Source organism: Homo sapiens, chromosome 2 (genome assembly GCF_000001405.40).
Source record: "Homo sapiens chromosome 2, GRCh38.p14 Primary Assembly".
NCBI lineage: Eukaryota > Metazoa > Chordata > Mammalia > Primates > Hominidae > Homo > Homo sapiens.
Genome location: NC_000002.12, coordinates 114,648,342 through 114,664,985, shown reverse-complemented (window position 1 = coordinate 114,664,985; position 16,644 = coordinate 114,648,342). Strand labels below are relative to the sequence as shown.

Below are 16,644 nucleotides of genomic sequence, written 5' to 3'. Positions count from 1 at the left end.
CTCTCTGCCATCTTTTGGATGCTCTATGCCATCTTTTGGATGCTCTGTGCCATCTTTTGGATGCTCTCTGCCATCTTTTGGATGCTCTCTGCCATCTTTTGGATGCTCTATGCCATCTTTTGGATGCTCTATCCCATCTTTTGGATGCTCTCTGCCATCTTTTGGATGCTCTCTGCCACCTTTTGGATGCTCTCTGCCATCTTTTGGATGCTCTATGCCATCTTTTGGATGCTCTATGCCATCTTTTGGATGCTCTATGCCATCTGTGTTCCTCTCCATCCCCGATTGTGCCTGTGGCTACTCGTGGCAAAAAAAGAAAGATGAATTTCTTTCTTTCTTTTTTTTTTTTTTTTTTTTTTGAGACGGAGTCTCGCTGTCACCCAGGTTGGAGTGTAGTGCCACAATCTCGGCTCACTGCAACCTCCGCCTCCCTGGTTTAAGTGATTCTCCTGCCTCAGCCTCCTGAGTAGCTGGGATAACAGGTGCGCACCACCACACCCGGCTAAGTTTTGTATTTTTAGTAGAGACGGGGTTTCACCATGTTGGTCAGGCTGGTCTCAAACTCCTGACTTCAGGTGATCCATCCGCCTCGGCCTCCCAAAGTGTTGGGATGACAGGCATGAGCCACCACGCCTGGCCAGACATGACGACTTTCTACTGAACTATACTCTTGAGTCTCTCCAAGGGTTATGACTCTTCTGCTTGCTTTACATTTATCCACATGCTTCTTGTTAATTTTCTCTTCAGTGAGAAGAAGGGAAAGGAGTTCAGAATTTAACTGTAATGTTTTGCCTGAGTTCCAGAGAGCAGCTCTGAAAGAGCTAGCTTTGAGTGCAAAAATATGAATAATTGAAATTCAGTTTCTCATGCTCTGGATTGGCCAACCACAATGAGAATCTCAATCTGGGTATCTCAAGTTTAAAATATTCAAACTGTGAGGATTCAACTGTAGCATTTTATACAATTGCTCCCTGTGATGTCTGCAGATGATGCACACTTACGCTCCTTCCCCAGATTGTCTCTCTAGTTACCCATCTTTAAGCTCTCATTAATAATAATATCTATGATTTATCGAGTGCTTATTATGTTAAGGGTGATGTTCTACATACTTTATATGTATTAACTCAGTCCTCAGAGGAAGATCCTCTTGCCATTCCAATTCTACTTTTTATGGCATGCAGTATACAGAGAGACTAAGTAAATCGCTCATGGTCACACAGCTAGCAAGTGGCAGATCTGGGAGTTGCATCCAAGTAGGGTGGCTCTAGAGAGCCCAAGTCAGTCAGTTTCTCTCTCTCTCTCTCTCTCTCTCTCTCTATATATATATATATATATATATATATATCTGTACATGTATATATAGACATATATGTATATACATATGTACATACACGTATATGATGTATACAAAAGAAGAATAATGACAGGGACTTGTCCTAAATAACATTGAAATGTATAATAAAACAACCAAAATTACAGCGGGTCCTGTTGGGGCAGGGCTAGAATAAATCACTGGAAAATAATTTTCAAAAGTCTAAATATATCCAAGACACATTGACAACTAAAATATGAGAAAGCAAGTATTTCAAATAGACAAGGGGAAGATGGATTATTCAATAACTGCCAGTCATCGGATAATCAATAAACCAGAGCTCACTCATTTCATACATATATGTGTATGTATATATGTATATGTATACATATATGTGTGTGTATATATATATAGATATATATATATATACACACACAAGGCTCTTAATATACACATCTGTTTACTGGAGATAGTGATTACGCAGGAAACACGATATAGCCCACCTATTTCCTTCCCTATTTCTTGGCTCCTGTACCAGCTTCCTATACCAGCTTCCTTTGTGCTGTACCAGCTTCCTTCCTGTACCATATATATGGATATGTACATGTATACACATATATGTGTCTTTATTTGAAAAACAGTACCTTACAAACCTAACACCATTCATCAAACTTCAATAAGAACAATTTCCGCATAAACTAATGAACAGTAGCTAAACTGACAAGAACTCAATCAAAAGTGCCTTAAGGCGAGTAGCACCAGCTGATGTTCTGCCGAGTCTCTGGGCATTCAGGACCCGGCTACGAGGGAAACAGCATCAAAGCAGCAGGTGCTCTGGACCTAAGCCCTCAAATCGTGGCCTGCCTCGCTCCTGGTGGCCCAAGGTCCCCCCCTGGCACTTCAGGGCCCCTGTGGGCTGCAAGCAGAACCCCAGGAGCCAAAGCGCCATGCGGGAAAGGCTGGACCTTGGCCTCACAGCTTGGTTTCTGCGCGTTGTGGTCACGTTCTTTCTGGAGCTCCTGGGGTGCTCTCTCCGTGGACGCGGTGGCCATCCAGCCTCCCTGGACCGTGTTCTCAGGGAAGAACGGCGCCCTCTGAGAACCGGAAGTGTCTTTCTTCATTTCCGGGGCTGGGTCTCTGGACGTTGTCTTGTAGTGGTCGCGGGTCTGACACACGCATTCAAGTTGTCTGCGTCCCGCGAAGTCTCACGCCGAGGTCCAAGCAGCAGGCGTCCCGCTCCGCGGACTCCCTCCGAGGCCCATCGCCTGTGCTCAGGGCGGCGCGGGCAGAGTGGAAGCTTCTCTGCAGCTCCGGAGCTCCCCGCGCAGCGGTGCCCGCGCCCCCGCAGGGAGGCCCGCGTGCCGAGGAGATTTTGGACTTTCGCTCTGAGTTCTTTACTCCTTCGGGTTTCTTCCCACGGTTGCGTGTCTGCTTTTCCAGTCTCCCCCCTCAGGACACTGTGCGACCTCCGCCTCTCGCTCCCCCTCGGAGCCTCCATCACGCACCGTTCGCTCTTCCCCCGGACCTGATTTTTGGCTTTGCTGGGTCCCCACTGAGCGGCAGAGGCCTTTCCAGCCCTGCTAGGAACAGAGCAGAGGGAGGGGCAGCCGGCCGACCTGAGGCCTCGGGGCGCGGCCTGGAGAGCCCGGGTTGTTTTTTTTTTTTTGGAGACGGAGTTTCCCTCTTGTTGCTCAGGCTGGAGTGCAACGGCGCGATCCCGGAGAGCCCAAGTTCATAAAGATTAAGTTCCTTTGTCAACCCCTGGGCTCATTGTGTATCAGAAATCTTCATTCCTGTGTTATTATTTTATTAAGGAGAAGACGTTTTCATGATGTTGCTGAATGAAGAAAACCTTGGCTAAGCAAAAACCCCATCACTGTGCACATTCTCATAAAGTACCAAGAACACATTACTGAGTGTCCAAATGCCATGGAGTCTACAGTGCGTTATAAATGCCCTGTTTCTTACTCATACTTTTGTTGTATCAGCTAAAGATTGGGGCAGCAGAATAGAACATACAAACAGCAACAAAAAAGACAGAGATCCCTGAGTTACTTAGCTAATGAATGTGGATGAAATAAGATGTGCAAAGATGTCTAAGATGGAGAAATGCTCTGTGTGGACTTGTATTGCCTGAATCCTTACAGGGACACGGCCTTCCTTTTGCTTTATCATATAAATTATGTGATAATTCTGCCATCCCACTACGATTACATTACAAAATTTAGGTTCTTTCCCACTGATGCTCTCGTGACATTAACACATGTGCCCCAATCTGTGGAGTAATTGTCATGTATATTACATGCATGTAGTATGACATCTACAAAACCAAATTTGCTAAGAGAAACTTATGCTCCATTTACCTTGATTCCTTACTAGAGAATTTTCAAATGTCAAGTCAAGCATGGCTGGACATCAAAGATTGTAAACCTTTGGGGGACTCACTTTAACATGGAAGAGTGGAAGCCATTCATATTATTTTAGCATTCCAGAACACTCAACTGACTGAAAGATTTTTTTTTAATTGTTGTTCTTTGAAAGGAAAGATGAATGAGCATATATCATTTGGGGCAGAATTCTCCAGAAACTATAATCTACAACCACTGCATTTATCTGAAATTCTGTCTTTTATTTTAAAGGTCGTGGCTGTATAATTCTGATTTTAGCAAGCAGAAATATTTTTCAAAAATGCAGCCTAATTTTATTGTTCACCTTTAAATATTCATTTCACATTTGATGGGCTAAAAATTTGAAATTCAAATTACTTCCTTTTCCTTTATTCTTAGCAAAATCATCTAAAAGTAAGAGTTGCAGTTCATTTATAATAAAATACAAATAAAATAAACTTCATAATTCAACAAGAACTAATTAAAATTATTTGAGAGCCAGTACTTACTGCCAAGTAAACTGTAAATTCTAGTTCTATTATTTGGATTCTTTATAACTTATTTTAGGAAAATTATTCATCTATTAAGTCATTGAATCACAGAGCTAAAAGGGACATTAAAGTTCACCTCCTAAAAACTCTCCTATTACCAATGACGTCTGGAGAGTTTCCTCAGCAGTGCAAGGTCACTTTCTAATGAGTTTCAAAGTCAGGAATCAAGTAAGTTCTATTGTTTCTAAGCCCTTTGCACTTCCTATAAAACACTTGAACAAGCCATACTAAGTACTGAGTGAGTCTTTCTAGTATTATATGTCCAAGATCTAATCAGGGCACCTGGTCTTAAGCCCACAAACTAGGGTTGTGGAGGACACTACACCTCTTGTGTGATTGCTGATTTTTGGTAAGACACAGGGTTCCCACAAATCTCTCTCTGCAGAAGCTCTGAGCAGGTGTCAAGGATAGAACATAATATTTTTAGAAAAAAAAGTGTAATTTTTTTTCCAGCTAATATATGCATCCTGTAAATATTAAGCATATTTGTTACAAAGGCTCTTAATGTACACATCTGTTTATTGGAGATAATGATCAGGCAGGAAACACGATATAGCCCACCTATTTCCTTCCCTGTTTCTTGGCTCCTGTACCAGCTTCCTATACCAGCTTCTTCTGTGCTCTACCAGCTTCCTTCCTGTACCATCTTTCTTTGTGCTGTAACAAAGTAGCACAGACAAGGTGGCTTAAAACCACATACATTTATTCTCTCACAGCTCTGGAGCCTAGAAGTCTGAAATGAAGGTGTTGATGGCCATGCTCTTTCTGAAGACTGTGAGAGAGAATCTGTTCCATGCCTCTTTGCTGGCTTCAGGTGGTTGCTGGCAACACTTGATATTACGTGGCTGGTAGCTGCATCAGTTTCTCCCTCTGTCTTTATACAGCTCTCTTCCCTCTGTGTGTATGTACATCTAAGTGTCTCCAAATTTCCCCCTCCTTATAACAAAACTAGACATTGGATTTAGGGCCCATTTTAATTAAGTATAACTTCATTTTTTAACATTGCAAAATCCATTTCCAAAAAGATTACATTCAGAGGTACCAGAGGTTAGGGCTTCAACATGTATTTCTAGAGGACACAATTCAACACACTGCAGGTCCCAGATAAACTATTTTTAATAAAGGGCACATTTCTGCAGGAAGCAATGAATGCACTCTTGGGTGATTGTTTTCTGAAAAAATCAAATATTTGGCAAACTCTGAGGAAAAAAAAAATAGAAGTAGGCCTAATACTAAACCCCATTACTTGGCTTTGTGTGGGGATTTTTTTAAAGTCAGAAATAATGCTCTGTCTCCAATGCATGAGGCAATGTGCAGCCAATGCAAAGATTAAGCAATAGTCCCCAGTGAGGTGGTCCTTTTATCACCCCTTCTTACAATTCATTTTTGAATCTTTAAAAAAAAAAATTGCTTGCTATGGAATTTTAAATTATCCACGGCCTCTTCTCATATCTGTTTATATGACAAGACTCTGAAACCCTCCTGCCACATACAATTTATTGTTAGCCACAGTCTGTATTAGTACGTTTTCATGCTGCAATAGGGAAATACCTGAGACTGGGTAATTTATGAAGGAAAGAAGTTTAATTGGTTCACAGTTACACCTGGCTTATTGCTGGGGAGACCTCAGGAAACTTACAGTCATGGCAGAAGGGGAAGAAGGCATGTCTTACATGGCAGCAGAAGCGTGAGAGAGAAGAGAGAGTGTGTAGGAGGAAATGTCAAACGTTAAAAAACCATCAGATGTCATGAGAACTTACTCACCATCACGAGAACGGCATGGGAGAAACCCCATGATCTAATCACCTCCCACCAGGTTTCACCCTCGACATGTGGGGGTTACAGGGATTACAATTCAGGATGAGATTTGGGTGGGGATACAGAGCCAAACCATAGCACAGTCTAAATGTCTGACATCAATCAGTGTATGCTCACATTCCAGAAGATATAATAATTACATTCAATCACAGGTATCCACTAAGGGTATACATAGCAAAAAATTGGGATACACCTGTAGAGAGATGCTCAATTTATCTGTTATACCGGGTATAAACGTCTGCATATATTTTCACTTTAATGAGCGCTTTGCAGTCTTATATGTGTGATCCAACAGTCTAAGCACAGTAAAAACAAACAAAACTGAAGATACTGAAAATTTAAACACCTATTTCAGTTCCAACCCAACCCTAGTGGATCCTGCTTTTAACTAAGAGCATTTTTGTAGCCTTTATGGTATTCCTTTGCTCCTACTCAGAACTCCATTTCAATAAACTGAAGATCAAAATATCTATAATAAAAACTTAACATCTGAAACACACTTACTTTTGAAACTTATTTGCCACTATTCTTTCTCATTAATCTCCTATCTTTTAGCCAAGACAGCTTATCATTGTCCTCTCAACAGGTCCCAATTTGTCAGCCTGCTGGACTCTGCTCATACCTTCATATACTCTCTCCACCATGTCAAATTGTCAAATATCCTTTATCTCCATACTTCCAAATCTTATCTGTGCTTCAAAGTCAACTCAAATGGTAGTCTCTTAATGAAATTTGTGAACGCCTTGTTACCCCCTTACACACATATACTCCTATGCACATGTGCACACACATACACATTTTAAGCTTATATCTAATCTGTCTCACAAATGTGTATATATTTTCAACTCAAATATATGAATGCATATATCATATTCTCTCACACACACAAATACGTATTTAAATCACACAACACTTTAAAAATGCCCCATTTAGATTATTTAGCATTTTCTGGTGGTAGATTATTTATACACATGCGTAGGTTGGACTGTAAATTATTTAAGGAAAGAAGTTGAACCTGATTCACCTTTATAAGCTTTATAGCAGTTAGGATGATATCTTGCACATAACAGAAGTTTAAAGAGTATTTACAGGCAAATAAATGCATGAATTATTAAGCCAAAAGTAGTTATACATGAATATATTTTTTGTGCTTAAATTTCATTAAACATCAAGAAGCTTAACCAATTTTTTCACGTATGCTACTACATCTGCTCATGGTGTTGCTCAATGTGTCAGCCTCACATATCACCCACAGAGAAGTTTTTCAAATTTAGAAACTGTTATTTAGTAAAAACAAATATGTTTAGTGATGATTACATCTTGCCTTCTCACGATGGGTTATGCTCAAACTATGTATAAAGAACTAAATTATTACTACTTTATGACTTTAAATTATAGAGAAAAGAAAACCATTGACAGTAATTAGTATATGGAGCTGACAAGCTGAATTTATTTAAACAAGAATGAAAAATTGAAATAATACCAACTAATGACTAATATGTTAATATTTGAAATTCTCAAGCTAAATTATGACTAGTTAGGAAAGGGTACACTGAAAATCATTTTGAAACATAATGGGGAAGATTCCTATTTCTGGTTATTCAAGCTTGAGTTTCAAGTTGACAAAAATCCATTTCTTTTTAACTGTCTGATGATGACTACAGGAGAAAAAGAAAGAACGTGAAAATAGAAGGAGAATAGGTTATATTACACATTTTCTTAGAAACTTTTTATGGTAATATATCTTTTGGATCTTAAAAGATATAGGCCTGGTTGTATAAAGAATTAGCAGGAAGTCGAAATTACCCATTAATCTTCCAGATTCGGAGCACAGCAGAGACACCTAGTACTGACTTTTATGGGCTCTTCAAATCCCTGACAGGCCCAGATTTATGATCTTCCCATATGCAAAGTCCTGTTTCCCAAGCCTTACCACAAAGATCTGAGATCAAAACGGTGCTTATAAAGTTGATCTTATTTTTTATTTTTATTTTTAGTTTTCCTTTTCTCTTAACTTGGTTTGACCACTTAGGCTGAAAGACTCCTTGTATTGAAGTTATTAATACCTTTTGAAAATATTATTGTCCATTGAAAGTAGCAATAGAATTAAGCTCTCCTGAGAGGCTCATGTGCCTTCCTTCTCTATTGTAATTCTCTACTTTCTAATTTGTTCATTCTTCACTATTCTTCTACAACAGTCACTTGGCACCATCACCACACATGTGCACAAACATACTATACCAGTATAAACGGAAGTTTTGTCCTATTTGCTACATATCCTCACCACTAAACACAACACTGTGCATAAAATTGCTCAATAAATATTGCACAAGTAAGGAAAATTATAATTTGAGGCAAGGTGATTTACTGCTTCATTTCTTTCTTTCTTTGAAGGCTATGTGAACAATAAATTGCAGATACTGTTATAAAATAGTTTACTTCTATAATATCAGTGATAAGCAATTTATGTGAATTTTATTTCCCCCTTCCGTCCTCTCCTTTATCTTCTTCCTTTTTTATCTTCTGCAAATCACTCCTTTTCCTCCTCTACAAATATATGCCCTTCTTTGTTTCCATTCATTCCACTGATCTTGTTCCAAAAAAAATTTCAACAAGCTCGTTGACTGTCTAAATTCTAATAACTGATACATCCCAAAGTTCAAGGAGATAATAGGAATTCCTAAGACCCCAAACCGAATCTTAGCTCTATCTGATAATTTGGCCAAAGTTTTTGCAATTATAAATTTTTGACTAGCTCAATGGACTCAAACACCAAGAATAATTGCTAAAAATTACTCATTTTCAGAGGAATTTCAAAGACACAAATATGCAAATAACATTGAATCTCAACATAACTAATTATTCCTTAGATAGAACTATGCCCCCTGTAGTCAATTCACCTTAGGAAAGCCCACATAAACTTACAACACCTAATTCGATAGTTAGGACTGCTAAATTTGATTGGAAGTCATGTGTTTCTGACCACCAAATCTTAACAACCTTCTCTCTTTGACAGAATTAGGTCCCACTCTCGGCAGAATCAAAAATAATGGAATTGCTCATTTAAAACAATGAGATTCCTTTGTAATGAATCCTTACCTATAGCTTGTGTCTGTGAAATATCTTTTTTTAATGGAAAAAATAATTAGATTATATGGAGGTCCTTACATTCGGATATAAAAGGTAACCACACAACCATATTTAATTATGTAAGCTGAATGCTTTAAGAACAATTTTACCAAAAAGCAGGTTGACTAAGAAAAGAAGTTACATTTGAGAATAAAATGGACCTGGGGTTGAAAAATACATAGAAAATAAACAAAAGAACACCTGTCACTATTTACTTCCACAGCCAGCATAACTCTTTTTCCTAAAGAATTTATCCTGCCAGTAAAAAGAGCACTAGTCAAGGAAGGATTAATCTCATTTCTCAACCCATAGGATACTTGCATTCTTTAAACTTCTAAATGCGCTTTTCTTGCCTTAACTGCCTCTTTCATGCTCTGAAAGTGGAACACGAGGTTTTGCTGAAGCCAAACAGAAATTTAGCAGAAATTTCTTTAAACGCCACACGTTTTTTCAAGGGTTAGTGTAGTATCACGGTAGGTAACTAACTTTCTTATTATTTCCAACCATACTGGTTGCCTGAGCCTCTCAACATCTTGTTTGTTTGAACCCTCCAGTTTCAAAAGTCAATAATGGCAAGTAATAGCACTTTTTAAAGAATACCAATCATAATAGCAACCAACATTTAAGTGCTTATGATGCTTCAGGCATTATGCTGTGTCGTTGTTATCCATTGTCTTATTCAGTCTTACTAAAATCTTAGGAGGTAGTTATAATTGTTCCCATTTTGTGTATGAAGCACCGAAGTTACAGGAATATTAACTAACTTATCTAAGTCTAATGCTAAGTCAAAGAATACAATATGGCAGAGAGTGGGGAAATTGGAAAAAATGGAACCCAAATTAACATTAATTTTAGAACTCCACACCCATTTTTGAGAAACAGAACTCACACCAGTATCCCCTCCTTTTAACTTATGATGTTTTAACTCAGGTACTTGTTCAAGGACTTATCCAATTCCCCTAGTCCAGTTGTGCCTTCCATGTTTAACTACATCCAGCTTTGCTGGGACTGGCCAGGTAGATGACAGAGTAGACCTCAAACAGCCCTCAACTGGAAGGAACACCCATAGCCCAGTTCCTGACAATGCAGCAATAAAGGCCCAATGCTGCCAGATCTTACAAAATTTTCAAAAGAAAAAAAAAGTCATAATCTTATGTGAAAATACTGATTTTAAAATATTAGTTGATTTTTTTAAAGTATATCTGAAGGTCACAACTAGCCCAGAGTTCTCCAAGTTTCATCCTCTGTTTTAAATTCTGCTAGAACACTTGGGGATTGCTGAATTTCTGTACTATCCTATCTATAGTTTGGACTCCTGGCTTTCAAAGGAAAGTTTCCTCCAGGTTTTCCCCACCCTATAAAATTTCACTCTGCTTTTTTCTTCTTTCTTCCACTTTAAGTTATTTTAAATTGTTTGCAACAGCCAGTAGGTTTTCCTTCTTTCTAATACTTAGCATAAAGTATTTCCAAGACAACGATGGGGGTCAAAAGTCATGTAATGGGAAGTCACTTCACCTCAGATTGCTCACCTGTCATCTGGTTAGACTGCTTACCTGCCTTGGAACCTAAGTAGAAGCAGAAACAGAGAATACCATTTCGAGTGCAGTTTACTCGTATGTACAGAAGTGCTAGGTCTTTGAATAGCAGTAGGACAGTAGGGGTAAAACTGGCCAAACCTGATCATTTTTATGTTTTACTAATTTTCTAATAATATTTGAGAGAAAAAAGCTATTCCATAGTAAGATTGAACACTAATCAGAAGAGGTTCTGTGTTAACACTGATAACATCAACAAGACTTTTGGAAATAACCCTGGAGGCCTATGGATTACCCCCAAGAGATTGAACACCTTTCTAGATGCCTATCTAGAAAAGCGAGAAGAAAAAGTGATAGCATTCACTACACAGAGGGGCTAGTACACAGGGATTCCCGAAGAGAATCTTCTTTTGCATGTCCAGTATTTTATTTAATCCACAGAGTTTTAGTTTTAGTTTAAAGACTTTGGCTGCAACCCTATACACAAATAGATAGCTCTCCGCCAGCCCAGCCACTGAGAATTCCTCTAGCGTCAGGGCCCACCAAGCTGTATTTGATTCAAGGTTAGGGTAGGAGCAAAGAAAGGCTCTATCTTATTGAAGGACACTGAGAACTTTTCTGCAGAAGTCCCCTTTGGAGGGCATGACAAATGCATGGATCAAATGTTAAACAAAATGACTTTTAGGAGGGCCTGGGAACTTGTTTTCTTTTTCTGTGCCCCACCTCCCGACCCCAAGCTGATGCATAGTATATTCATTTTCTTGGGTTTGCTATAACAAATTACTACAAACTGGGTGACTTTTAGAAAAATGGAAATTTATTCTGTCACAATCCTGGAGGATAGAAGTCCAAAATCGGTTTCCACAGGCTCCACAAAGTTTCCTTCTCCAGAGGCTCCAGGGAAATTCCGTCCCTTGCCTCTTCCAGGTCTGGAGGCTTCTAGGGCTACAGGTGCATCACTCTCATCTCTGCCTCCAGCATCATGTGGCCTTCTCCTCTTTTGTGTCTTATAAGGACAGTTAGCCTTGGAATTAGAATCCACCTGGATAATCTAAGATGATCTTGTCTTAAGATCTCTAATTACGTCTGCAAAAGACACTTTTTCCAAATAAGGTCATAGTCACAGGTTTCAAGATGCAGACATACCTTTTTGAGGGTCACCAGGTCACCATTCAAACTACTACAGGTAGTAAAACACACACACACACACACACACACACACACACTCTCTCTCTCTCTCTCTTTCTCTCTCTCTCTCTCTCTCTTCCAATGAGAGAGAAAAGAGGGAAAACAAGATGCCCATTGGTGGTAGCCTGGCATCTAGATGGGTGGAGTAAAGGCTCTCTAACTGCACTTTCCTGTTCCTTTTAAGTGAGTTGTCTGGGCACGATGGTTTTACACTGAGCTGAGTCTGGAAACTATAATGCTCTCTCCCCAACCTGAACACAAGCTCTAAAATCAGTGAGAAAGTGAGTCCTGCCAGAATCCCTCAAGAGTTAAATTTGTTTCAAATGTTTACTTTAGAGAAATGGATCAAGAAAGAGCATACTTGGGGAAAATGTATCTGGCATTTATAGAGCATAAAATTCGACAAGCACCATCAATTATACATCCACTATAACACACCTTCAGATAGGTGTTTTGCAAATAAAAGTCAACCTAAGAAAGCTGAAATATGTGCAGGGTGTGTGGTTAAATGATTAAATGAATTCGTAACACCTGCTGCTTAGACAATCTCTGCTCATCAACATGATCTCCAAACACATTCTACAGGACTAATTTAATGCCAGCTACTGGGAATGAAGCAAAACCCTAATTTTCTCCCATGGAAATTTACTTCTCAATGAAGGCAGCTAAGAAGATGGAGAAAGCCCACAGACTTTGATAAAATTTCTCTGGGGTTCTGTTAGGATGTGCCTCCAGAAGCTGCATTTACCTTTTTGCCTGTGTGCCTGCCTCCTTAATTAGGTAGAAATTATATATTTAGTCTGGGCCAGACTTATCAAAACTGGATGCTTTCCCCAGAAATTCACTTAAAGTCTTAAACTGATGGCTTAGAAGTAACTTCCTCCACAGGGGAACCCACCCCCCAGCACTTCCCCTTCTTTCTTATGTTTGAAATTCTAAAGGATTACCGGATGTGGGCTCTCAAGCCCCATTTCACTCACCTGCCTTTGTCATCCCTTGCACGCACTGACCCTTTTTTCTTCATGGATATCCCAACTTTGCTAATCAGAGTGGGGTTCACGGATAGGAATCATCTGGGAGCTTGTTAGACCAGCAGCATTTCAGAGACATCCCAGATTTACTATCGTCATCTTCCGGGCAAGCACATTAAAATGTGAGATGCATGCCCTAACTCACGCTGCCTCAGGAGGTTATGACATTTGCTCTGGCCTAGGCTCCCAGCAAGCCTGCTCTCTTGTTCATGACTCTGCTTACTCATCTGCCATTTGTATGAACAGTGATTTTCAACACTAGCTGCATATTAAAATCTCCTAACAGTTGCGGATTGTTGAATTTTTTTCTTTTCATGAGAAAAGTGGCATCCTCAGAGATCTTGATTTGTCTAGAGGGGAGCCCAAGCACAGTCTTTAAAAAAAAAATCTTAATTAACCGTTTCTAGGAGATTTTAACATGCAACCAGTTTTTAAAACAGTGTCACGGAATAGTGGTTTTCAAAGTGTGATTTTAGCACTGGCAGCCTAAATATCACTGGAGCTTATAAGAAATGCAAATTCTTGGGCTCCATCTGAGATGGATTTAGGCTTGGTGGGTACAGGGTATGAGGGGTGGTTGCAACAATCGTGTTTTAGCAAGGTCTCCAGGTCATTTTGATGAGGGTAAAGCTTGAGAAACACTGCCATTGAGTATTCCTTGCCACTCACGCAAAAGTTCCATGAAAGGTAGAAAAATGAGGAAGTCTGGCGCTTACCCTGGAGTAATGCAGACTTACTTGGAAGAAATACCTTGAACATATGGGCAGATCCAGACACAACACATACCTTCAAGTCCCTGTAATTCTAGTCAAAATGTGACTAAGTACAAGTCAAGTGCATGTTAGTTCGTAGGAATAAAACCTATTACTCCTGAGTGGGAGGGCTGCTCTACAAGCAGGTAATGTATGCAAGTGACACAACCATAAACAATAGGAGAAAGGAGGGCATTTAGGTGACTAGCCTGGCTTACTAGGAGATAGACCAAAACAATACATAGGTGGTAGTCAAACTATGAAGGAGCTTGAATGTCACTCTAAGCTCCCTAAGTATTTCTAAGAAAATACTACCAGGAAAATATTGAATGTATGAGTTATAGTTAGCTAGACAAAAGGAAAAAAAGAAGGTGAGGGAATTTTTAGGCAGTAAAAAGAGTATGTACCAAGGCCCTGAGATAGGAAAAAACATGGTATCTTCAATGGAATCCTTAATGAGAGTTTATTGAAGCAGTTATGTAGGATGTGGGGATGGAGGACTCATCTGCTAGGATGATGAGAAGGTGATTTTAGAGGGAGCGGATTGATAGGACTTGTGACCTTGAAATTCCAATTCAATTCCAAGAGACTCCTTGCCTGATTATGCTTACTTAATAGAATTCTCCCATCTATTAAGGTTTCTTAGACTCCTTATCTTTCTAATTCCTTTTCTCTCATGTAAACTAATGGGATGCTCTGAATAAGTGAAAAGTTAATGTAGGGAAATTTTACAGCACAATCTTGAAGGCAGCCACAGTAATGCAGTATTGAAAAGCACACTTAATGATGGGTATGTGGAGTTCATGAACAACAATAGTTCATTTGTAACCACTTCATGTAGCGTACATGTATCACTTTTTGGAGCACTACCATTTAAAATTATCTCCTGGACTCATTCTTGGTACCATAAAAGCAAAATAAAATTAGGGATATTGCTGGGTTTGGATGCTTCAGGCATCAAAACAGGCATCCCTGCCCTTCAAGGTAACAGGATCCCCATCTCTAATTTTTCTCACTCTATAGTTCTGACACCACATTCTATCTCCCAAAACCACCTTTCTTGTTCTCACATCGTGTGCTCTCAGACGGTGCTCCAAGGTTAGATCATAAGACTCAGGTGTGACCAATCAAAACACCGTACTTCACAAACTGGAATACAGAGACTGACTGGTTCCCTATGGCCCAAAACATCAGACGATGAAACTTGATCGAAATCTCCTACATTTTTCTCTGAAAAATAAAATGTATAACATGGCCAATAATATTTTGAAAAAATAGTGCAATAAGGCAAAACTTGTTCTCCTAGTTATTATAACACTCCATAAATCTGCAGTAATTTAAATGGTGTGATACTGGTTAAAAAGTTGTCAAATAAACCAAGTGGAAAACATAGAGAATCCAGAAACAGATTCAGATATATGGAATTTATAAGGATATCATTTTAAAGATCAATGATGAAAAAAAAACTACTAAATAAAAGTAGAAGATATAAATAACATTGGAAAAGTTGGCTATTTGGGAAAATAAAAGTTTGATCCCTACTATATACTAGTCCAAAACTGAATTCTAGACAGTTTAAAATCCTATAAAATAGTGTTTTTCAAATCATTGCTTCATATTTTAATTGTATGATGAACTTTCAAAAAATCTCAGGATCCATCCCAGCACTTTGGGAGGCCGAGGCGGGCCGATCATGAGGTCAGGAGATCGAGACCATCCTGGCTAACACAGTGAAACCCCGTCTCTACTAAAAATACAGAAAAAAAATTAGCCGGGCATGGTGGCGGGTGCCTGTAGTCCCAGCTACTCGGGAGAATCAGGCAGGAGAATGGCGTGAACCCGGGAGGCGGAGGTTGCAGTGAGCCGAGATCTCGCCACTGCACTCCAGCCTGGGTGACAGAGCAAGACTCCATCTCAAAAAAAAAAGAAAAAAAAAATCTCAGGATCCATTACATACCAATTAAGTGAGAATCTGGGGTGGCGAAACCCAAGTATCAGTAATTTTAAGATTTTTCTGGTGTTTCTAATGTGTATCAGAGTTTGAGAACTGTTTCTGGTTAATAGAAAAAATTCCTCCTAGGTTTTCTAACAGGCAAAGCAAAGAATATGTTAATAACAAGTACCACAGTTTTTATTTTTAAAAAGTTAAATGTTCAGGAGACTTACAGATTTTCCTGGTACTGGAAAATAGACAGAAATGTCACCATTTTAAACTTTGTAAATTACCAGCACATTCTATAAACTTGTTAAATTAACAGTGGCTTTATAGCACTAATGCCCACGTTAGTTGTGCTTTTCCACCCTTAAACCTCATGAGAAGGATCATACTTGCACGTCTACAGAGGAATTACAGAAAGGATTGGAGAAAATTTGGCATATTTTCCCACATTTTCCTCTGTGATAACCAGAGTAGTTACCTACTTAAATGGATAGTGGCTTCACTATCATCAAAAATAGCTCACTTTGTATGTATGTACCACTCTAATTACCAGTTCTTCATATCATTTAGCATTGGGTGCACCTGACTCTGGAGCCCTGATGCAGATGTTTTGGACTTTAAGTATCTAGACCATTTCTTATACCTACCTATTGATCATGCAATCCTTTCACCCTGAATTTAGATACAACGACTGAATCCCTCCATCATAAGCCCTAGACTGTCACTATCAAATAATTAGAATGGGCAAATACATTCAAATATGTCTGTCCTGCCCATTCTAGAGAACTACAAAAATTCTCTATTTCCTTGTGACCACAGGGAGGGAACCACATTTAGTGGGTAATTTAGTGGGAACTGGTACTGGAAATATGGGCTGAGCCACTTAAGCAAGGGAGAAATACTGGGATGAAGATCATGTAGCAGGACTTAATCATCTAGATCTAAGGCTAAGGCTCCAAAAAAGAAGAAATTGGGTGTCAAGAACTGTGAAGGGTCTGAGAT

The 16,644-nt window shown here is 39.2% G+C and overlaps 1 protein-coding gene across 10 annotated transcripts in view, besides 1 other annotated feature; it reads right to left on the bottom strand.

Moving 5' to 3' along the window:
• The window catches only part of DPP10 (dipeptidyl peptidase like 10), a 1,403,140-nt gene that overhangs the window by 1,180,795 nt on the left and 205,701 nt on the right, over window positions 1-16,644 (bottom strand). The gene's annotated exons all lie outside the window — the stretch shown is intronic.
• Window positions 12,373-13,177: an enhancer, noted in NCBI's record as "OCT4-NANOG hESC enhancer chr2:115409386-115410190 (GRCh37/hg19 assembly coordinates)". NCBI's record gives its function as "activates a minimal SCP1, AML or CMV promoter by ChIP-STARR-seq in primed H9 embryonic stem cells {active_cell/tissue: H9 hESC(primed)}" and the evidence as "EXISTENCE:reporter gene assay evidence [ECO:0000049][PMID:30033119]".